At 44.0% G+C, this 24,810-nt stretch overlaps 1 pseudogene, besides 2 other annotated features; it reads left to right on the forward strand.

Moving 5' to 3' along the window:
* Positions 3,543–5,764: an enhancer, noted in NCBI's record as "VISTA enhancer hs1640". NCBI's record gives its function as "enhancer in: tail[5/7]" and the evidence as "EXISTENCE:transgenic organism evidence [ECO:0001131][PMID:17130149]".
* Positions 4,101–4,747: an enhancer, noted in NCBI's record as "OCT4-NANOG-H3K27ac-H3K4me1 hESC enhancer chr5:141930613-141931259 (GRCh37/hg19 assembly coordinates)". NCBI's record gives its function as "activates a minimal SCP1, AML or CMV promoter by ChIP-STARR-seq in naive H9 embryonic stem cells {active_cell/tissue: H9 hESC(naive)}" and the evidence as "EXISTENCE:reporter gene assay evidence [ECO:0000049][PMID:30033119]".
* RPS12P10 (ribosomal protein S12 pseudogene 10) lies at positions 19,753–20,135 on the forward strand (annotated as a pseudogene).

Raw genomic sequence — 24,810 nt, forward strand, 5'->3', positions numbered from 1 at the left:
ATGGTTTGTTGTTTTTTTTTTTGAGATGGAGTCTCGCTCTGTCGCCCAGGCTGGAGGGCAGTGGCGTGATCTCAGCTCACTACAAGCTCCGCCTCCCGGGTTCACGCGATTCTCCTACCTCAGCCTCCCGAGTAGCTGGGACCACAGGCGCCCGCCACCACACCGAGATAATTTTTTTGTATTTTTAGGAGAGATGGGGTTTCACCGTGTTAGCCAGGATGGTCTCGATCTCCTGACATTGTGATCCACCCATCTCGGCCTCCCAAGGTGCTGGGATTACAGGCGTGAGCCACCACGCCCGGCCAAAGCCAACATGGTTTCTAAAGACAGATGAGAGAAGTACCTACCATTTCCTGAGGCTGGCTTTACCAAGGACGTAACACGTGTAAATTATTCAAACAATACAGAAATGTATAGTAAAACGTGCCCCATATCCCATGACCCCTTATCTAAAAGTCATGATGTTAAAAGCTTTCAGGATATCCTTCTAGATATTTTCCATGTATGTAGAGCCCTTCCTTTTAAAAAGCACACATATACACACATATATATAAACATAAATGGGATTGTACTGCACACACTGTAATATACTTTGCTTTTACATTTAATCATAGTTCTAAACATCTGTCCAAAACAGCATATATATACATCGACTTCTGACTGCATAGAATTCCATTGTACAGTAGATGTACCGTAATTTATTTCACCAATTTCCTGTTAATAGACATTTGTTTCCAGAGTCTTGCTCTGGAAGTCTGGACAAAGATTGCTGCAACGGATTCCTTTGCACATCTATCTATGTACCAATACATTGGTAGACGTGATTCATAGAATTGGAGTTGCTAGGTTAAATCGTATGTTAAATATCTAAGTAGTGCTCCCTGCAGTTACGTTCCCAGCAACTGTGCCAAAGCTGCTTTTTAAACTCAGATGGAAACCACAATTGGACATTAACTTTATTTCTTATTCACTTATTACTTTTGTTATCTGGGTTTCTGTTCAGAGAAAGAATGACGTCTGACTTTTGTTCAAAAGACAAATGAGAAGCAGGTGAGTGATCTGCTTCAGTATAATGCTTTCTTTTGTTTAAAGTGCATTATGGGCAAAAGTTCTGTCTTATTGCTGAAAAGATGCTAGTGATTATTCTTATTCAAGAATTCAAGATATAGGCAAACAGGAGGTCAAGGCTGCAGTGAGCTGTGATTGCATCACTGCACTCCAGCCTGGGCAACAGAGCGTGACGCTGTCAAAAAAAAAAAAAGATAGAGGCATATTAAGCTCTCAAGAAATGATGGAACTAGCAGAAAATCATTGGAGAGGCAGAATAGGGAATGCCACCAGGAATATAAAACCTGGTCTTCTAGATCCCAGGCTACAGAGGGGTTATTTCACCACAAATACAAAATGACTTTGAAAATAGAATTATATTCTAAATAGAATATAGGTAATAGAAAGATACCTTATTTAAAGACTGGAAGAAGATCCACATTTAGGGCTCATCAATATACTGTGATCTCTGACCACCCAACCCTATACTTGACACTTCCCCTCTCTTCTCAGAATCTTTTAAAAGCAGTCTCAGAGTATATGCAGCAGTAGTAGTGGTGATGATGGAGATAATGGAGTTTTTTTGTTTGTTTGTTTTTTCTTTATCCCCAATATCCAGCGAGCTGCTTGGATAAATGCTTAAAACAAGATGAAAATCTTTGTCCTGGATCTGTACATCCGTGTACTCTTTTTGCATCTGCTCTGCTGATATTTTCATGCTCCCTTGACACCTGCCTGCTATTTTAGAAGAGGTCTTTGTATCAAAGGAGGGGTAGGGGAGTCGGGCATTTCCTCTGCACTAGCGAAAGGGCTGCGGGGGAGCCTGAGCCCCAGCCTCACTTCAGGTGGCAGAGGCCTTGCTGCTGGTCTTTCTTGGAGAGGCTGTCTTAGAAGTAGGTAGCACCCTCTCCTGGGCTAAATGCAAACGATCTCTGTGTGTCCTGAAATCATCTGGGATAATAGCAGGCATCTCCTTTTCTCTGGCAAGCTCTGCCCCATCACTGCCCCCTCCTGGCCCCTTCTATTTTTTTTTTATTTGAATGCCACACTGGACCATTTACAAGTCCAAATGAGTCAGATTGGAGATTCTAAGTAAGACTGGTTAGGGAGCAGGAACTTATTTGAGTACTCACCGTGTGCAGGGCAGGGATGTGAATATAAAATGAAATAAAAGCTTGGAGTCAGTATAGATAGAGAATATGAAGACTGAATGACTAAATGTTTATAAAATGCTATTTAAACAATTCCCAACATGCTAGAGGAACTCTGCATATGGTAGAAATCGTATAGCGGTGAGGTGATGTGTGCGACCTGGCAGTCTCTTCATGAAATGGCAGACCCTGAGAAAGGAGTTGTCCAAAGGAGGAGGGTAGAGCCTTAGCTTGCGAAGTCTCTGGAAAGAGATACACTGGAAGTTTCTTTTATTGAACAATTTAACAGAAAACTGCAAAATTCAAACTTTCAGGACTCTCCTACCACCACCTTCTACCCTCTTGTCTTTTCTTCACCAGTCATTTGTTTTTCTCAATGACATTTGCAGAAAATGAAGACATTTTAATGATACCTTCTCCTTTCTACTCAGCATTCTGGTTTCTGCTTCATCTGAACATTTACCCTAATACTTCATCGAACTCCATCTACATGCTACATACTGATGACCATGGCTATTGTTCATTTTATCCCATAAGTCAAAGATTGTGTCTGTTTTGCTTGTTCAATTGTCAGTGTAACAATAATGAAAAATAATGGTAATAACTGTCACTTAGTGAGTTTTTACCTGAAGCCAAGCACATAATCATTTACCATTCTTTCAACTGATGCTCACAGTTACCTGATGGGATAAGAGCTTTATTATCCCAGTTTTTACAGATGAGAAAATTAAGGTTCAAAGCTATTCAGTAACTTGCCCAAGTTACAGAGATGGGACCTGAGCTTGGAAGTCTAGCTCTAAAGACCTTGTTCCTGTCCACTGTGAATATTGTTCTGCTTAGTATTCACAAGTAATAGATGAACGTTCAGGAATTCAGTGACTAAGGAAATAATCATGTTTCCAGGTATAGTTCGTTGCATAAAAATTAATGTGACTTGAGACATCACAGAACTGAGCTAGGAGGGAAGTATAGCATTTCCAGTGTCTTCAGAGCAGTTTGTTAATAGAAGAGGTGTTGAGAGCTGGGTTGGCTTATTCCTAACAGAGCACAGAGCACTGACCTCCAGGGACACAGCCAAGACTTACTGAATACTTACTATGTTCCAGGCAGTGGGCTCAAAGCCCAGCGTGTTTTTCTATTTAATCCTCACAACAACCTCACCTTACAGAGGAGGCTCAGAAAGGTGAAGCAACTTGCCCAAGGTCATCCAGCTAGTGGTTGGTGGAGTCAGGACACTTCATTGCTCTGCTGGACTCCTCTCAGGTGCCCCTGGGGGAACTTCAGATTGTCTTATAGGCCCCAGCTTCCCAAAGGATGCCCTCTGAATGGAGGGAGGAAGTTAGAGGGAGGATCAGGGTCTACCAGGAGGCTGCCAAAGGTGTGCTCTGGGAAATGCTCCTGGTCTGGAGGGTTTGAGGGAGCATGTCTGCTCTAGGAAAATCCAAATGGGCTTAGAAGAATCATGTCAAGGCCCAGGATAAGACTGCAAATATGTTTGGAATCTAAGCCTGTAAAACCTGTAAAATGTGCCCTCTAGTTATCTTTGTGTTTTTTTGTTTTGTTTTGTTTTGTTTTGTTTTTTTGAGACAAGATCTCACTCTGTCGCCCAGGCTGGAGTGCGGTGGGGCAATCATGGCTCACTGAAGTCTCAACCTCCCAGGTTCAAGTGATCCTCCTGCTTAAGCCTCCCAAGTAGCTGGGACTACAGGCACTGTGTCCAGCTATTTTCGTTGTTGTTGTTATTGTTTTGTAGAGACAGGGTCTTGCTATGTTGCCCAAACTCCTGGACTCAAGTAATCCGTCCACCTTATCCTTCCAAAGTGCTGGGGTCACAGGCATGAGCCACCACTGCAGGCATAAGGCCTCTAGAAGGCCTAAGGCTTCTTAAGAAGTCAGAATGTGTCTTATAATTTTATAGTACCTAACTTTGCTGGCCACACCATAGGTACTTAATAGATACGAAGGAACAAGTGAATGAATCAATGAATGACAAGGAGAAGGCAGCCTATGTGTGGGTAGCAGTCTGCTTAGGAACCCTTTCCTCCAGATACACGTATAAAGTAATGGTTCTGGTTGCTCTTATGAAAAGTTTGTGAAATATGTTTTCAAGTTGGATTTGAGTGTGGGGCTCTGGAGACAGTGCCTGGGTTCAAATTCTTGCTCTGCCATCCCTAGTGATTGTCTGTGGCAAGTCAGTGAACCTATCCAGGCCCCTTGCTGTGAGCTGCAGGTGAAGCACCTGGCTAGAGGAAGCGCTTGGTAAATCCCAGCTATGCTAATCACAGTACCAAAGCCCAGTCCAGCTGGAGGCAGTGCATCCGCCGTGGTTTACAAAGGCACCAGGGAATTGTTTCCCTCAGCATGTGAGCGTAAAATTCTCAGTCCCAAGTTGAACCCAAATGTGCAGGAACAAACACCTGGCCCCAAATATAATTTCCTCCCGCAGCTCATTGCAGCCCCGAGGAAATCACCGGGGGAGGGCTCGGGAGTGCGGCGCGGCAGCCCCATAATTTCCAGGGCCCTTCTCCTACACTGACACGTAATTGTCAGATTGTTTTATGAGAGCAGCTTCCTGCCCGCTTCCTGCCTGGCTTCCAAATGTGCTCATTCCCGAGGAAGCCTCACTTCTCCTTCTCGCCCTTAATCGCTCCTTTCCTGCCCGCCCCAGCCCCCAGGCTGGGCGATTTCCTAAATCACTCGGAATTGGCTTCCAGCGCCGGCGCCCCGGGTGGGCTCCCGGAGCGCGCGGGCCTGTGACCCGGAGGTCAGAGATGCCTCCGTCCTGTTTGATGTCTTGCCCTGGGGGCCTTCCCTCGCCCACCCCCTTTCCCCTCCCCTCCGGAGCTGATTTGGCTCCTGAAGTCAGGGAGAGATAATTCCCTGATCTGTTGCTCTTTGCTCTCCCTCCTGGGCTGGAGAGCAGGAGCCCTGCCTGGGTCCTCAGCCCACTCCCCTTCCCCACCCAAATGGGGCAATTCCAAATATTCCACCCTGAAGGAACTCCTTTCCTTAGGACCATTTCCCTGTCTCTCCAAAAGCCAACTGTTAGGAGGAAGTGATAAGCCCTAACGCTTTTAGCTTAATTTTCCCCATTTGAAGAATTTCCGAGGAAGCATCATGGGGCTTTTTATATCTTAACTGTGTATTTTTTTATTACTAAAGAAATATGCAATCACGGTAAAAAATTTCAAACAGATCGTTTCCAGACGGAACCACAGTTAACAGTATTTTGCGTATCCTTCCAGAAGTGTTCCATACACATACAAGCATATAAAAGTATATATATGTTTTTTCTTTGCTTTACACAAATGGGAGCATATTGGACATCTTGTTCTACAACTTGCTTTTTTTTATTTAGCACATTTTGGATGTTTTCCATTTCAATAAATCTAGCTTTATTCATTAAAAAAATTGTTACATCGGGAGGCTAAGGCAGGAGAATCGCTTGAACCCGAGAGGTGGAGGTTGCAGTGAGCCAAGATCGGGCCATTGCACTCCAGCCTGGGTAACAAGAGCAAAACTCTGTCTCAAAAAAAAAAAAAAAAGTTCGTGCCAGTGAAAACTCCAGTAAAAGTGTGTGGTTGCACGTACCATCACAAACACACATACAATCAAACTTTTTAACAGTCCTAAAAGAAATTTTAGTATTATTTAACTATTTAGGGGTGGGCTTCTAACCTTATTCCCAAATAATGACTGATTATTTTCTGTGATTCTCAGCTCATGAAAATTTGACCATTTTTCTATTATTTATCTGCATCTTACTGATTTGAAGATCTCTTCATCTAAATAGGAAAATAATGCTTTTCTATCATAGATTTTATCCGTAGTTCTCAACTTTATCATTTGTCATTTAGGCTTGTTTATGATATATTTTTCACAAATATTTTAAAAATTATTTATTATAGTAGTGAATTTATCAATTCTTTCGTTTTTTGCTTCTGGACATGCTTAGAAACCCTTCCATAAGCCAAGTGTGGTAGTTCATGCACCTGTAATCCCAGCACTTTGGGAGGCTGAGGTGGGAGTACTGCATGAGTCCAGGAGTTCGAGACCAACCTGGGCAACATAGTGAGACCTCATCTCCACAAAAATAAACTTTAAAAAATTAGCCAGGCATGGTGTTATGCACCTATGATCCCAGCTACTTGGGAGGCTGAGGTGGGAGGATTGCTTGAGCCCAGGAATTTGAGGCTGTGGTGAGCTGTGATTGTGCCACTGCACTCCAGCCTGGGCAACAGACTGAGACCTCAACTTAAGAAAGGAAGGAAGAAAGAAAAAGAGAAAAGAAAGAGAAAAGAAGCCTACCTATAAACTAAGCATTTTTGAAAAATAACTCATGTTTTCCTTTGTATTTTTCACATTTAAATCTTTAAAATGTTGAGGGGAAAATAAATCATATAATACAGGTCAGACATTATTTCCCACCTCCCTTATCAGGTATTCTCATGCTATTCATTAACTAATGTGTCCTTTCTTGGCAGTTTTAAAAAATAAAATGTCTTCATATAAGGAAAACACTTATTGTTTCATAATGATAGCTTTCCCAATATGTGAAGCTCTTTAGAGAAGAAAATAATTTGATCCTTAGCAGCTTTAAAGATGATGAGACCCATCTTCCAGAAAAAACAGGTTCATTGCTTATATTTGACTAGTCTTAGTGAAATGAGTGGCCCATAAGATGGATTCTCAGTGGCTGTTTTCCCCTCATTCATTAGGCAAGCCCTCATTGCTACTGTGTAAAGTGGTCTATGGCATCACAGGAATGACCATGTCTAATTTTTGCCCTCAGGAAGTATATAATCAAACAGGAAAATGTCAGACCTTTATTTTCTGGAGGGGTCTGGCTGCACGTGCGTACGTGTGTGTGTTTGTGTGTGTTTACTGTGGGTTCCTAGGGCTTTGAAAATGTAAAGAAAGGAGATTCAGATTCGTTTAGTTGATTATTTCAGGAAATACACTGTTGAATAGTTGAAAGTTGGAATAGAACATCGGAAAGTATTGTAAGGAACATGCATTTTAGAAATGCATACTCTGTGTGAATATTCCTGTTTATTTTCATTTGTCAAAGAAGCAAAGTCCTTTTTGGGTACAGACCCCTCAGATTTAGAATTTCAGAGTCGGGAGATAGGAAGGAGACTAACTTGTTAGTTATTCCTGTATGTTGCTTATCATACCCATTTTACTGAATGAAAACTCCATGTCTTACCCACAGGTATTATTACCAAGTAGCAGAGGTACAATTGCATGCAGCTTTCTCAACTCAAGAGTTGTGGTGGACATTTTTAGTTGCCTACCCAGTAGCTACTCCCCCAACCCTTTCCTGGCTAAGAAAATTGATTTTGTATGAGGTGAGAGTGCCCAGCCTGAGGCAAGAATGCCACTGAATTCCCTTCCTAAATCACCCTTTTATAGACTCTCTTTTGCAGCTAGGGGACTGTATTAGTTTGCTAGGGCTGTTACAACAAAATCCCAGATTGAGTGGCTTAAGCAACACAAATTTATTTTCTGGGTTCTGGAGTCTAGAAGTCCAAGATCAAGGTGTCAGCAGGGTTGGTTTCTCATGAGGCTCTCTTTCTGGCTTGCAAATGGCTGTTTTCTTGCTACGTGCTCACATGGTCTTTCCTCTGTGTGTGCATGTCCCTGGTGTCTCTTTGTGTGTCCAAATTTCCTCTTTTTTTTTTTTTTTTTTAAGACAGAGTTTCACTCTTGTCACCCAGGCTGGAGAGCAGTGGCATGATCTCGGCTGACTATAACCTCCGCCTCCTGAGTTTAAGTGATTTTCCTGCCTCAGCCTCTCAAGTAGCTGGGATTATAGGTGCCTGCCACCACACCTGGCTAATTTTTGTATTTTTAGTAAAGATGGGATTTTACCATGTTGGCCAGGCTGTTTTCGAACTCCTGACCTCAAGTGATCCACCCGCTTCATCCTCTCAAAGTGCTGGGATTACAGGCATGTGCTGCCATGCCTGGCCCCAAATTTCCTCTTCTAACAAGGATGCCAGCGAGATTGGATTCGGGCCCACCCTACTGGCTCCATTTTAACCTTTTTAATGGCTCTATCTCCAAACGGATTCACATTCTGAGATACTAGAGATTAGAGTTGATAAATTTATGGGGGACACCATTCAGACCATAACAGGGACCAAATCTAGTCTGGCCATTGAGACCTAAGGAGAAATCTACTGGGTGCTACTGGGCTGGATTTCCTTCTCAGATCAGTAGGCCCTTGTGAAGAGAAGACTTTTGTCTCCCTGCCTGGCTCTCCTGCTTGGGACACTGACACCTGGAGCTGTGGCAGCTATCTTGTACTCATGAATTGAAAAGTATAAACACAAAAACCCTTTATGCCAGGTGTGGTTAAGCTGAAGAATGAATGGAAAGACCTGCAACCTTCACAAAATTGTTGAGTTGTTGAATGAATCTTCAGATCATGCATTTCCAGACTTCTTGTTAAGTAACAAATAAAAGCCTTTATAGGAGTTCTGTTCTTGTTTATTAGGTTTTCTGTTATAGCAGCTGAAAAACATGTCTAACTAATATGCAACTTCATTGTTTCTTCACTGAACTATACTGACTCCAGGGAGATCATGGCTGATCTGTCTTGTGTTAATTTTAAAACACTAGGGCCAGGTGTGGTGGCTCTTACCTGTAATCCCAGCACTTTGGGAGGCTGAGATGGGAGGATCACTTGAGGCGAGGAGTTTGAGATCAGCCTGGGCAACATAGCAAGCAAGACCTTGTCTCTACAAAATAACAAATAATTAGCTGGGTGTGGTGGCATATGCCTGTAGTCCCAGCTACTTGGGAGGCTGAGGTGGGAGGATCTCTTGAGCCCAGGAGGTCGATCGAGGCTGCAGTGAGCTATGATCATGCCACTGCACTGCAGTCTGAGTGACAAAGTGAGAACCGGTCTCAATAAATAAATAAATAGGAAAAAGAAAAACACTGGGATGCTAGTTAAACTTCTCCAGCTTCCCTCAACTGTTAAGGACCATCAGCCAAGAATTCACCCTAAACCTTCCTGAGCCCTTTTACCTTTTTATGTTCCTGCCAACTCCCCAGGTAGAGAGTTTCAGGAGCTTACTTCCTACTAAGTGTGGCTTTTGTTTCCTTCTAAAATTATTCCTATAAAGTTCTCAGAACTATCGGGGTTCTCATAGTCCAGGATTTGATGGACAAATCTACATTCTGTCTATGCACAAACTCTGATTTTTATGGACCTTAAACTTACCTCTCCATACTCTGAACATTAGAACAAGAGGCTGGGTGTACCAGAAGGGATTTGATTTTCATTCTAGAGCCTTCTCTGCAGTTTTACTTTTCCATTATTACTTTTATTATTTGTATGTACTTGTATCATTTGTACAATGAGTACAAATTGCGATAACCTGTAAGGTAGAGGAGGGAGGAAAAACAGAGCCCATCAGTCTTCCTTTTTCGAAGTAAGTGCCCTGAGAGTTTTCCTGCTTCATTCGATGTTATTTTGTCTCTTTGAGTTAACTTTCAAGAATGTATTTCCTCCATCTTGTAAAGGGAGAAATGGTAGAATGGTAGGTGCTAGGGTGGTGGCAAGTGAGAAACAATCTTTGGAGTTACTCTCTCTAGGTCTGAATTCGGCCTCAGCCTCCTTACCAGCTCTATGACCTTGGGCCCTACCCAGCCTCTCTAGGCTTCAGTTCCCTCATGTAAGACATGGAGATGTAATTAGTGCCCATGTCATAGAGTTGTTGAGAGGTCTCAATATCTAATGGTAGGCCAGTGTGTGGCTCAGAGCCTAGCCTATTATAAACACTTGCTGAGTATCTATTGCTATTAGATTTTTATGCTGTGGCATCATCATAGACTTTATTTTTTCATATTTATAATTTTTTTTTTTTTTTGAGACAGAGTCTCACTCTGTCACCAGGTGGACTGTAGTAACGCAATCTCGGCTCACTGCAACCTCTGCCTCCTGGGTTCAAACAATTCTTCTGCCCCAGCCTCCCTAGTAGCTGGGATTACAGGCACCCGCCACCACGCCTAGCTAATTTTTTTGTATTTTTAGTAGAGACAGGTTTCACCATGTTGGCCAGGATGGTCTCGATCTTTTGACCTCGTGATCCGCCCGCCTTGGCCTCCCAAAGTGCTGGGATTACAGGCGTGAGCCACCGCACTCAGCCTCATATTTGCATTTTTTGCTTTATATTTTGGCATAATTTTAGGGTCAAAGAAATAGTACGAAGAGGGTACACAGAATTTTCATATACTGCCGACTCAGTTTCCCCCATTGTTAACATTTTACATTGCCATGGTACATTTGTCAAAACTAAGAAACCAAGAGACATTGGTACATTACTATGAACTAAACTCTAGGATGCAGTCCGGGGTACATTGCACTTAGCTGTCGTGTCTCCCCAGGCTCCTCTGTTCTGAGAGTTGCCTAGTTTTCCCCTATTTTTCATGACCTTAACAGTCTTAAGAAGTGAGTCCTGGACTCTTGAGTAGAAGCCAAAAAATCCACGCTACTTCCCCCGGACCAAATCTTTTCTGTTCCAGAGACTTCTGAGCCCACAGAAAAGAGCAGAGAACATTAGTCAAAGGAAATGAACTGTGTCTTTTTTTTTTTTTTTTTTTTTTGAGACAGAGTTTCGCTCTTGTTGCCCAGGCTGGAGTGCAATGGCGCAATCTTGGCTCACTGCAACCTCCGCCTCCCGGGTTCAAGCGATTCTCCTGCCTCAGCCTCCCGAGTAGCTGGGACTACAGGCATGCATCACCATGCCCCGCTGATTTTGTATTTTTTTTTAGTAGAGACGGGGTTTCTCCACGTTGGTCAGGCTGGTCTCAAACTCGCGACTTAAGGTGATCCGCCCACTTTTGCCTCCCAAAGTGTTGGGATTACAGGCGTGAGCCACCACGCCTGTCCTGAACTGTGTTTTCTAAATAATAAACCCTCTAAACAACTCTGTGGCATGGATACTAATTTCATCCCCATGTCTTAGATGAGAGAACTAAAACTGAGAGAGGTTAAGGTAGTTTCCCCTCTGAGGGTGTACTCTGTCTTTGGAGGACACCCTTTTAGATGACTCCATTCGCAAATGGAACTTGTCCAAGGAGGATAATGTGAGGACCAAGGGAGAGTTCTCATTGGCCCTCCAAAGTCTCGCTGAAAAATCACCTTGTGAAAAGCAGGTTAATTGGAGAAAAGACATACAAATGTACTTAACACGTATATACAAGAGCCTTCAGAATGAAGATACAATGACACAGGGGAAATTGTCTATTTTTATGGTTAGGTTCAACAAATTACAGGCAGTTGGGTAGAAATATGATTGGACCAAACAGGTATGCTGTAATGCTAATAGACTAAGTGGGGAACCCCAGCCAGGCCTATCTGTCTAGATTGTTGTGGGCCTCTCTGAACTTGTATTCCTTCCTTCTGGGTGTGAAGCAGGACCTTTTCTGGAATCTGGGTCTTTTGGCCTGCAGTCAAACAAGGTAGGTCAGACCTTTTTTTTTTTTTTTTTTTTTTTTAAGAGACAGAGTCTCGCTCTGTTGCCCAGGCTGGAGTGCAGTGGCACGATCTAGGCTCACTGCAAGCTCCACCTCCTGGGTTCACGCCATTCTCCTGACTCAGCCTCCCAAGTAGCTGGGACCACAGGCGCCTGCCACCACTCCCGGCTAATTTTTTTTTTTTTTTTTTTTTTTTTTTTTTTTAGTAGAGATGGGGTTTCACTGTGTTAGCCAGGATGTTCTCGATCTCCTGACCGCATGATCCGCCCACCTTGGCCTCCCAAAGTGCTGGGATTACAGGCATGAGCCACCACGCCTGGCCTTTTTTTTTTTCTTTTTTTTTTTTTGAGATGGAATCTTACTCTGTCACACAGGCTGGAGTGCAGTGGTGCGATCTTAGCTCACTGCAACCTCTGCCTCCTGGGTTCAAACAATTGTCCTGACTCAGCCTCCAGAGTAGCTGGGATTATAGGTGTATGCCACCATGCCCAGCTAATTTTTGTATTTTCAGTAGAGACGGGGTTTCGCCATGTTGGCCAGGCTAGTCTCAAGCTCCTGACCTCAAGCCTCCACCCGCCTCAGCCTCCCAAAGTGCTGGGATTACAGGTGTGAGCCACTGCACCAGGCCAGAACATTTCTTTTTAATGGCCAGTTTTTGACACAGAAAGGCAGAGTAAAAGTTAGCCTAATATTTTTAGGTTTTATGGCTGGGTTTGGGGAAAACGGATTTTGGTTTTTACGACCCACTTTGGGGAAGAGGGATCCTAGTTTCCATGCCTTACCCCAGGGAGAATGGGACTGAGAGACAGGAAGGCAGGGAAGGTCAGAGAAATACTTTTGCTTCTGAGGCTGTTTCTTGGGTCTTCATTTTGGGATCTTGTTTTCTGAGCCCCAACAATGGAATGGGGATTTATGGGCAAAGTAGAATGTCCTGGGGAAACTTGGATGTATTTGTGGTAAGCCTGGAGACGGCTGACTCTTGCTTCTCATTTCTGTTGGGCACTGGAGGACATCAGAAGCTCTCCTGGTCAACCTTCATCAGGAACACCCCTCCTCGGACCATGTTGGATAGCCCTATGATTACCCCTTCAAGGGATATGGTCCATAGCCCTACGGTTACCCCTTCGAGTTCCAGGTGTATGCAGGGACGGGAGGAGAATGCATCACTAAATGAAGAAGAAAGTCTTCAGTTAAACTGATCCACAGTTGTACACTAATACCTTCAGGGGCTTCAGACTTGTCCATTCATGGTCAAGTTCAGACAGCCCCGAAGGACATCTGAGGCCCATTAAGTCCAGATTTACATTCTTCTCCAACAAATGGCAGTACTTCAGAAAGTTTGTTTATTTAATTTAAAGTACAATTAAAAAAAAAATGTAGCCCCTAGAGTACAGGAGTTTATGGGATTTAGTGCCCCTCTTTCTGGGGTAGAATAAACAAAACAGGGCGAGGGCAAATCCTATAGGGTTCTTCCTCTCTTCCCATGGATGCCTAGTCTTTTTTTTTGTTTATAATATTGTTTGTGAAACTTACATGTGGGAAGGAAAAAAGATTGTTTTGTTTTCTCTTGAGCAGAGTTGTTTGTGTTCATATATCGGAAGCTGATTAGTTTTGGAAAACCTAATTTCTTATCACTTTTCAACTGACTTTATTCCTCCTACTTCAAGTTGCAAATTTAATTTTACTGACCATAATATGTGAAGTTTGGGGAAAAATCTTGGATGTGGTGGAACTAAAGAATCTAAAACTGTTCTTTGTGCAAATGTCGAGGGAGGGGGCCAGAGGGCTGTTCCTGAACAGTTCTCCTCCTTAAGGCTTCGTTTAGCCTGCAGGGTTGACTGATCCTAGCAGAGCTTTTAAGCTCTTTGCCACTTTGGGGTGGAGTGGGGATCAAGATAGAGGGCATGGCCAAGGACAGCTGGGAAGACTAGTCAGAGGAGAAGAGAGATGACCTATAAATAACAAATTATGATTACAGTTTTCTAAAAAGATGCAGGTCTTAGTATTAAACTTCTTGAAATGCTGCACAACTGTCAGTCATTGATGTGAAAAATTTATAGAAAAAGTCAATGCTTGGCTGGGTACGGTGGCTCACGCCAGTAATCCCAGCACTTTGGGAGGCCGAGGCAGGCAGATCACCTGAGGTCGGGAGTTTGAGACAAGCCTGACCACCATGGTGAAACCCCGTCTCTACTAAAAATACAAAAAATTAGCCGGGTGTGGTGGCGCATGCCCGTAATCCCAGCTACTTGGGAGGCTGAGGCAGGAGAATCGCTTGAACCCGGGAGGCGGAGGTTGTGGTGAGCTGAGATATCACGCCATTGCACTCCAGCCTGGCAGCCTGGGCGACAAGAGTGAAACTCTGTCAAAAAAAAAAAAAAAAAAGTCAATGCTTGACTAAAGATCTTTTTTTTTTCTTTCAACATATTCATAGGTCAACTTCAATATGAACAATTTTTCAAGGATTATCAGACTCTGGGTTATACTAGAGTTACATGGCATTAAATATTGATAGAAATAAGTGGGCCCTGGTAGAAGTTTGGGTTTGTTTTTTGTTGCCGTTAGAGTCATGGTTATGGAATTTGGTTTTCCTGGAACCAAAAGTTCTTTGTTAAAATGCACATCCCTAACAGATACTAATTCTCATTGAAAGTTATTCTTGGGAATACATGGAGAAGTGTCTAGTTCTCATTTCAGGGGAGAGAGACCCAGATTGAGAGCCTTGTCGTGAAGTCCTATAGTTAAGGGTCCTGAAGGATGAGCCCTGGTAGCTCTTGGAATAAACAGTCTCAGGGCAGGCGAGGTGTGCAGAGTTCATGCCAGGCCCTGGTGTAAAAGTGGTCAGCATGGAGATGTCCAACACTGACTGTTACTTCTCACACAGTCTTGTTTTCATGCTGCTTCCTCTAAGGTCTTTCATCCTGATTCTAACGCCCATCATGACCACATGCTATCTCTAAGAGTCACGGAAAGGCACCACTTTTAAGAGAATGTGCCATGGGAGAGCAAGGGTGGCTCCACATCCTACCGCACTCTTGGTTTGAGTCTGTTTCCGTAATGAGCCTGTTTCATGAGTCAAGAATATTCCATTAACCAAATGGATGCAGCTGCCAACAAGAATGTTCCAAAGAAAATAAATGAAAACGTGTCTACTTTGCACTGTTTTGATGGGCAACTTCTTTTTTAAATCCTGGTGCCTGATCTGTCTCTTCTCAGGTTGTAGTTTATTAGAAAAAAAACTTATACTGAGACGCCTAGGAATGTTCTCCTGCAGTGATAACTCACAGCTCAAATTTTACAGTGCTTTACACTCCTCTCTCCTCAGTGCTCAAGGCGCTGCCTGGTAAGAAGCTAAACATTTAAGGAGGCACATTAACTCTTTGGAGCCATTGGCTTGCAAATCTAAACACTGAATGCAATCTCAAGACAATATTATTTTTATTTAAAAATATCTATTGAGATGACCTCCTATAAATGCTCTTTTATCATTGTAAGTGACAAGTCCATGTCAAGTGAATTTGAAAAGTGAAGAGAACTCTAGTAACATCGAATGACCAATGTCAGTCTTTTCCTCCACATTAGCAAATGTGGAGTTCTTTTGGTAAAAACTGAGGACTTGGCCTGTCATAAGTCTGACTTTCAGCTGGCCCGTCTGTTCTGGGCCTCACAGACCAAAATCAAGGTGTTGGTAGGACCAAGTTCCTTTTCTGGAGGCTCAGAGGAAGAATCCACTTCCAAGCTCATTCAGCCCGTTGGCAGAATTCAGTTCCTTGTGGCTGCGGGACTGAGGCCCCCATTTATTGGCTGGCTGTCTTCTGGGAGCTGTGCTTAGCTCTTCATGGCTTCTCATGAGAAAGCCTTGCCAAGAAAAACAACAGGCTGTTAGAACCTGAAGAAAGGACCTTAACCCTTGTAAGCCTTGATGCCTGAGCCCTTGGAAGCCATCTAGGGCCATCAGGCACATGGATTTTTGATGCACTGTCTCTTCTGGTTAGTTACTGGGTATTCAGGGTTCTCATAGTTTGGGTTAATTGTTTTCTGCTGTTTTCACCATTGCCCCCTTTCCCAAGACTCCTCTCTGACAACTTGCCGAGAATCCTTGGTGTAGGAAATAAGTTTCCATCTGGGTGACTAGAGCTCGTTGGGCCAACTCCACTGAATACTGTGGCCTTTTAAGGATTAGGGCCCCCATTAGACAAGCTTGGTTTCAGACTTTTTAGAAAAAAATCAATTTTGGCCAGGCGCGGTGGCTCACACCTGTAATCCCAGCACTCTGGGAGGCCGAGGTGGGTGGATCACGAGGTCAGGAGATCAAAACCATCCTGGCTAACACGGTGAAACCTTGTCTCTACTAAAAATACAAAAAATTAGCCAGGTGTTGTGGTGGGTGCCTGTAATCCCAGCTACTCAGGAGGCTGAGGCAGGAGAATCGCTTGAACCCGGGAGGCGGAGGTTGCAGTGAGCCAAGATTGTGCCACTGCACTCCAGCCTGGGTGACAGAGTGAGACTCTGTCTCAAAAAAAAAAAAAAAAAAAAAAAAAATCAATTTTATTGAGCTGTAGTTTAGTACCATAAAATGCACCCATTTAAAGTTCCATAATGATGTGATTTGAAAAAGTTATACATCCAGGCCAGGTGCGGTGGCTCACGCCTGTAATCCCAGCACTTGGGGAGGCCAAGGCAGGTTGATCACGAGGTCAGGAGCTCGAGACCAGCCTAACCAACATGATGAAACCCCATGTCTACTAAAAATACAAAAATTAGCTGGGTGTGGTGGCACACGCCTGTAATCCCAGCTACTCGGGAAGCTGAGGCAGGAAAATCGCTTGAACCCGGGAGGCAGACATTGTAGTGAGCCAAGATCTCACCACTGCACTCCAGCCTGGGTGACAACAGAGGGAGACTCCCTCTCAAAAAAAAAAAAAAAAAAAAAAAAAAAGAAAAAGTTATATATCCAGGACAACCACCATGATCAAGATGTGCATTTCCATTACCCCCAAAAGTTTCCTTGGGCCCCCTCCCTGTCAGTCCTCACTGCCCATTTCTTCCCATCGTTACCCCCCAGCAATCACTGAACTGCTGTCATTTGATTTGTCTTTTCTACATTTTGATATAAATGGAGTCATATATATCTATATGTCTATGTCTATACACACATATTTTTTTGTCTGATTTCTTTTACTCCATGTAATTTTTTTTTTTTTTTTTTTGAGAGGAGTCTCCCTCTGTTGTCACCCAGGCTGGAGTGCAGTGGTGAGATCTTGGCTCACTACAATGTCTGCCTCCCGGGTTCAAGCGATTTTCCTGCCTCAGCCTCCCGAGTAGCTGGGATTACAGGTGTGTGCCACCGCACCCAGCTAATTTTTGTATTTTTAGTAGAGATGGGGTTTCATCATGTTGGTTAGGCTGGTCTTGAGCTCCTGGCCTCAAGTGATCCACCCGCCTTGACCTCCCAAAGTGCTGGGATTACAGGTGTGAGCCACCGTGCCTGGCCAATGTAATGTTTTTGAGTTTCATCCATGTTGTTATAGGGATCAGTAGTTGGTTACTCTTTATTGCTGAGTAGTTTTCTGTTATGTGAATATATCACAACTATCCTTTTTCTTTATTTCTAGAATAAATTTGCTAATGTTTTGTTAGGGATTTTTGCATCTATGTTCATAAAGGATATTGGTTTGTAGTTTTCTTTTAATGTCTTTGTCTGGTTTTGGTATCAGGGTAATACTGGCCACATAAGTTGAGTTGGGAAGTACTTTGGGTATTTATTTCCAGGTGGTTTTTCTTGGCCATCTGTTGGGCACTACTGCCCCGAGAGGCCCAGAGATGTCCTTCAAAGAGCTTTTTGTAGGTCCACGGAGGGTGTAGAAGCCCCTGGCACTGCTCTCAATGTTTTGTGGCTTAGCAGCTGTTCGCCGTTCCTGTTCGGTGTATGGTGTGCCAATAGGGTGCAGACATCCAAACACTGTACACGGAAACTCCAAAACCCTGACCTTCTATTGCAGCCACCCTCTCAAATCTGGCTGCTTCTGCTTTTTTGGCACAAGACAGTGGCCTCCATCCTTCCCTCTGGGATGATCCAATGAAACCCCCCTAAACTAAAAAATGTAGTTTACTTTTTTTGTGTGTGTGTGATGGAGTCTTGCTCTGTCACCCAGACTGGAGTGCAGTGGTGCGATCTCAGCTCACTGCAACCTCTGTCACCCGGGTTCAAGTGATTCTCCTGCCTCAGCCTCCCGAGTAGCTGGGACTACAGGCGCATGCCACCATGCCCAGCTAAATTTTTGTGTTTTTAGTAGAGACGGGGTTTCACCATGTTAGCCAGGATGGTCTTGATTTCCTGACCTCATGATCCGCCCGCCTCTGCCTCCCAGAGTGCTGGGATTACAGGCGTGAGCCACCACTCCCCGCCAAAATGTAGTTTACTTCTAAGAGAAGGGGTGACGGAGAGGGAAGGGAAGGAGAGAGGTTGGTGAGAGGGATAGGGTGCTCAGATCTTTAAAAACGAATTCAGACCTTGCCTGAGAGTGGAATGGGGAAAGGAGACAATTTCATGTTCCCCGGTAAGTGCCCAGAAGCAGTAGTTCAAGAAAAAAAGTTAGGTTTTGCCTTAAACACCCTCTGTAAGGCAAACCCAGGAAATTTTAGATCCATATGTAAACTTCTAGAAAAGGAATCTTACACAACATATAATGTCCTCCTCAACCATTTATCTTTTACAAATGTGGAGACTGTCCCTTATCTCCACCCATTACAGATAGCCAAAGATGCTTGAAAACCACTATTTTATGAGGTTTTGGGGGCCTCAGGCAAATAAAATTCCTGCTGATCTAGGCTGATTCCCCAGGTATCCTGAGTTGGCATGCAGATCGGGCTCTAGGAGTTCTGGCTCGGAAAATCAGGACAAAGAACACATTATAATGACTTCCAGCCTGGGATGGAGTCTACTGCATCATGCACGGTAAACTCCCATGATCTTCAAGGGCCTTTATTGCTGGTGTTTTGGGCTAAACATTACAGCAAGAACAACCATCATCAACACATAGGCTCTAATTTGTATTGTGTGAGCTTGTGTCTGTGTACACACATATACAACTATTGTTATTATATGATTAAGGCATTAGTACATTGAAGGTGGACTGTTCCAACATTTGGAGAGCCCACTTCCCTATGTTGTTTGGGAGAGTCACCATAGATTTCCAAGGGGCTGGAACAAGTTACTTGAGCCACGGTCATTTACACAGACCTGAGGATGTCAGTCCCCATTACTAGATAACCTCACTGTAAACCAGGTATGTTGCTTAGATGGGAAACTGGAACTGAGTGGAAGGTTTACAAAGAAAAAGGGTCTGCGCCAGGAGCAGTGGCTCGTGCTTATAATTCCAGCACTTTGGGAGGCTGAGGCGGGTGGATCACTTGCGGTCAGGAGTTCGAGACTAACCTGGCCAACACTGTGAAACTCCGTCTCTACTAAAAATACAAAAATTAGCTGGGCATGGTGATGGGCACCTGTAATCCCAGCTACTCGGGAGGCTGAGGCAGGAGAATCGCTTGAACCCGGGAGGTGGAGGTTGCAGTGAGCCGAGATTACGCCATTGCACTCCAGCCTGGGAGACAAGAGTGAAACTCCATCTCAAAAAAACAAAAAGGGTCTGGTTTGTTAGAGGAGCTGGGGTTTGACCTTGAATACAGCAAGATATTTGGATAAATAAGGAGCCAAGGAAACAAGGCGGTGATGGGAGACTGTGTAGTAGGGAGACAAGTGGGGGTACCCCTCAGGGTGGAGGGACGCAGTCAAGACCTTGTTTGAGTGGCTGCTTGAGTGACCTTGAGAGAATGAAAAGGACCTAAGACAGGCTGTGAAGTCACCAAGTTCAGGTTCAGCCTCTGCCACAAAATAGTTTTGTGTCCTTGGGCCCATCACTTACTCTCTCGGGACCTTAGTCTCCCCGTTTATAAAAAGATAGAGGTTGGTGATTGCTTGTTCCCTGCTGCTGCTGCTGCTGAATCATGTGAAGGCTCAGGTGTGGCCTTGATTTGGCTTCAGTCGTGACCCACCGCCAAGGCCCAGGAAGCCACTGCTGCAGGAAGTGTCCTGGACGTTAACACTGCTTTACAAGAAGTGCTGACCGCCCTCATGCATGATGGCCCAGCATAAGGATTTACAAAGCTGTCAGAGCCTTAGATGAGAGCCAAGCCCATCTCTGTGAGCCTGCATGATGAGCCCACCTCTGTCAAATCAGGGGAGGCCCTTTGTGCTGAACTCCAGGTCAATAGACTTAAGGGAGGGTGATGACAGAAGAAGCCAAGGGGACAGGTAGGTGGTCCCTGTGAAATTGACAGAGAGGGAAGACCCTGTACAGCGGTCAGTTGTGTTGTGTCATAGTTAAGAACTGTGGCAAAGAATCTCAGGTGGAGGATGTTATTGAAGAGTACTTCAAATGCAGAAATGAACAAACAAGCTGGGGGTGGTGGCTCATGCCTGTAATCCCAGCACTTTGGGAGGCCGAGGCGGGTGGATCACGAAGTCAGGAGATCGAGACCATCCTGGCTAACACGGTGAAACCCCGTCTCTACTAAAAAATACAAAAAATTAGTCGGGCGTGGTGGGGGCGCCTGTAGTCCCAGCTACTCGGTAGGCTGAGGCAGGAGAATGGCGTGAACCCGGGAGGCGGAGCTGGCAGTGAGCCGAGATCACGCCACTGCACTCTAGCCTGGGCGACAGAGTGAGACTGCATCTCAAAAAAAAAAAAAAAAAAAAAAAAGAGAGAATCCATTGTTTGGTTTCTTGATTTCTTATTTTGATTGAAAAAACGGGCTCTGTAACTTCCTTCTTGTAGGGAACCAACAAAGGAAGACAGGCTGGTACTGGTGGGTCAGTGAGAGCATCACAGATTCAGGTCCAGTTTTGGGTCTTGTCCCACCACTTGGGGCTATCTCCTTCAAGTATCACCAATTTTTCACCAGGAATGAGATAGAGTAAGAGTCATGGTTGCTTGAATACAACCTAGTTTCTTCCTCTCATTTCCATGATACTGGAGTCAAAAACATAGAAATATCGGTTTCGTTGTGTGAATATTGTTGTGTTTCAGTTCACCAGTCACAGAAAATAAATGGACATGGTTGCAGTTTGAACTACATCCCTGAGGTTTACTTATGTATTTAAAACATAAGTTTAGTTTTGCAGTCGAGTAAAAAAAGGAATACTTGGGCTAAGTTCAAAATTCACAAAAAGTACTTTTGGTTCACAGTATGGGTCAAACCCCTAGCTATTTATTCTTAGCTGTCTGTTTCAGAGAGAAGTTGAGAGAACATCTTCCCCTTTACTAGAAAGGCCTATGAAAAATGAGTTACTTAATATTCCTCCTCTATTTTCCTCTGGGTAAAGGTGCATATTCCTAAATTTAGTAGAGTTTAAGTAGATCTTCCTCCCCTTTTCACATCCTTCCTGTTTTGTTCATGATCTGGGGGATTGGGGGAAGTATTTTTTTTAAGTAGTGTTGCTGTTTCTCTTTCTGCTTGAGCATTAAGGATAGATCCTATGTAGTAATTCCTGAGCATCCTGCCCTCAACAGACGACCAGTGATGAGGTTAATGAGGTGTTGGAAGATGGCAAAACCAATTCTAGTGTTAGGCTTTCCAGCTTTTTAATTAGGAGTCCTGATGAATGGCTTGCTTGTAAAATACTCTTTCACTGGGTGACACCCCCACCCAGACAGGAGAGATGAGGAAGCGCATGGTGAGATAAAACAGGGCAGTCAGTCCTCTGCTTTCTCCCAAGTTTGTCCAGCTCACATCCAGGGCCTGTAGCTGTCTGTAGCTGCCATAAATAATGTCCCAGGGCCTTCCAGAGGCTTCCAAAGGCCAGAGCTGCCAGTGCAGCGTGAATTATCACGGAAATATGAGATAGCTGGGAGCTTTCTCTCGGCATTTTTCTTCTGCAGACCGCTGGGCTGGATCCAGGGTCTCCCACAGTTTTTTGTGTGTGTTTGTTAGATGGAGCCTATATGGGCTGTTGTGGACCTGGGTACTTCCAGGTACTCACAGTCATGAAACCAGAAGGTTTTCAGGGGCTATCCTTATTAAACAACCCAGGAGGCTTGCACTTTGAGAACATGCCAGTGTTGCACCTCAGAGGAAGGGTTCCGAGCACTGCCCTCATTGTGCCGTGATTGACGTGTGTTCCAGTATTTTCCAGGACTCTGTGGACATTATCACTGGGACACAGCCACGTTTCTTTTTCTCAAGTGAAAGAAGTTTTGTCCAGGAAAGACGTCAAGGCTGAAAAGACAAACAGTGTGACTATATGTGGGTGGATGAGGTGCAGGGAAAGAATCTCTTCTAGGAATAGAAATATAAACCCTTTACTGTAATTTTACAAGTTGTATTTCCCCCCAGACTGATCTTTGGACAATTTTAAGAGATTAAGAAACCCACAGATACTATACTCAATATCTGGGTGACGGATTCATTTGTACTCCAAATGTCAGCATCATGCGATACACCTTTGTAACATGTCTGTACATGTACCCCTTGATTCTAAAATAAAAGTAGAAAAAAGAAACAGGAAATCAGAGTTGTAAGAGCAGTGATAGCAATTGGTGCCATTTCTCCTTCTACCCCACTTTTAAAAAATAACTTGGCTGGGCACAGTGGCTCACGCCTCTAATCCCAGCACTTTGGGAGGCTGAGGGGGGCAGATCACCTGAGGTCAGGAGTTCGTGACCAGCCTGGCCAACATGGTGAAACCCCGTCTCTACTAAAAATACAAAAATTAGCCTGGCGTGGTGGCATGCACCTATAATCTCAGCTACTTTGAGGCAGGAGAATTGCTCGAACCCAGGAGGTGGAGGTTGCAGTGAGCTGAGGTCGCGCCACTGCACTTCAGCCTGGGTGACAGTGCGAGACTCCATCTCAAAAAAGAAAAAAAAACTTGATTTTTAAAAAATTTGGTGACTCATTCTATGAATTTTAACATTTGTATAGATTCTTGTCACCACCACCATAATCAGGGTTCAGGACAGTTCCATCACCCACCCCCACTAAGCTCCCTTGTGCTGTCTCTTTATAAGCATACGCTTCCCTGACCCCTAACCCCTGCCAACCACTCATCAGTTCTCTATCCCTATAGTTTTGTCTTCTTGAGAATGTCATATACATGGAATCCTACAGCATGTCACCTTTTTGAGATGGGCGTCTGTGACTCACCAAAATGCCTTTGGGATCAATCCAAGTTGTTGTGTATATCAATAGTTGGTTCCATTTTATTTCAACATATGGATGTACCACCATTTGTTTATTCGTTCACTTGTTGAAGGACATTTGAGTTGTTTCCAGTGATTCAAGTCCTTTATTTTTTTTTAGATTGTGCTGAAACATATAACATATAATTTTCCCCTTTAGCTATCTTGAAACGTACAAATCAGTACCTGGTATTAATTACGTTCACACTGTTGTGCAATCATCACTACTATCTGTTTCCAAAACGTTTCCATCACCCCACATAGAAACTGTGTAACCATTAAGCAATAACTCTCCATTTGCCCCAGCTTCTGGCAATTCTGATCTACTTTTTATCTCTATGAATTTGCCTATTCTAGATATTCTCATATAAATGGAATCATACAATACTTGGCCCTTCGGGTCTGGGTTTTTTCACTTAGCATAGCGTTTTTAAGGTTCATCCATATTGTAGCACGTAACAATGCTTCATTCCTTTTTATGGCTGAGTACTAGTCCATTACATGTATATAACACATTTTCTTTCTTTTTTTTTTTTTTTGAGACGGAGTCTCGCTCTGTCACCCAGGCTGGAGTGCAGTGGCGCGATCTTGGCTCACTGCAACCTCTGCATCCCGGGTTCACACCATTCTCCTGCCTCAGCCTCCCGAGTAGCTGGGACTACAGGCGCCTGCCACCTCGCCGGGCTAATTTTTTTTGTATTTTTAGTAGAGACGGGGTTTCACCGTGTTGGCCATGATGGTCTCCATCTCCTGACCTTGTGATCCGCCCGCCTCGGCCTCCCAAAGTGCTGGGATTATAGGCGTGAGCCACCGCGCCCGGCCTAACACATTTTCTTTATCCACTCATGTTGGGGACACTTGGGTTATTTATACTGTTTGGTTATTGTGAATAATGTTGCTATTCACATTGGCATACAAGTAGTTGTTTGTGTCTGTGCTTTTAAATTTTTTTTTTTTTTTGAGATAGGATGTCACTCTGTCGCCCCAGCTAGAGTGCAGTGGCATGATCTCAGTTCACTGCAGCCTCAACCTCCCCAGCTGAAGTGATTCTTTCACCTTAGCCTCCAGAGTACAGGCACACACCACCACACTTGGCAAATTTTTTTTTTTGATATTTTTTTTTTAGAAATGGGTTTTCACCATGTTGCCTAGGCTGGTCTTGAATTCCTGGGCTCAAGTGATCCACCCGCCCCGGCTTCCCAAAATGCTGGGATTACAGGTGTAAGCCACTGTGCCTGGACTCTTTTTTTTTTTTTTTTTTTTTGAGACAGGGTCTGGCTCTGTCACCCACGCTGTAGTGCAGTAATATGATCTTGGCTCACTGCACCCTCAGCTTCCTGGGCTTACCTGCTTTTGATTCTTTTGCCACTCCTACTTTTTAATTTAAATTGGCAGGAGAAGGAAGATTTTAGTTCTAAGAATCTGATACTTTGTATGAATCTAGTAATTGTTCTTTGTATTTCGTAAGCTTAAAGGATTTTAGGAATTCTACCAGCTTTTTTGCCATTAATGTCTCTTGTGTCCTGAGAGGATGAAGATGGTAGTCAGAATTTGGTTATGGGAAAAGGGGACTCGTGGAAGTGGCCCAGGGCCCATTGGGGGAGCCAGCCTCTGTTTGCGTGCCCTGGCTCAGGTTGTGGTGTAATCGTTTGCTTGGGTCTGGAAGTAGTCTTTGATAGCATCTCATGTGATTGACTTTGTCTGGCCCTTGCTTCATTTCTCCACAGGGTTTGCGAGGCCATTAGAAGACTTAAGGAGATAGGGGCCAAAAGTACCATGTGGGAAGAAGCTTTCACACTCTGCAGGATCTGCTTTTATTTGTAAGATGTGTCTGAACCTACCCAGACTTAGAGCTCAGCTAATTCCGCACTCATTTAGAT

This window comes from Homo sapiens, chromosome 5 (assembly GCF_000001405.40).
Source record: "Homo sapiens chromosome 5, GRCh38.p14 Primary Assembly".
Lineage (NCBI taxonomy): Eukaryota > Metazoa > Chordata > Mammalia > Primates > Hominidae > Homo > Homo sapiens.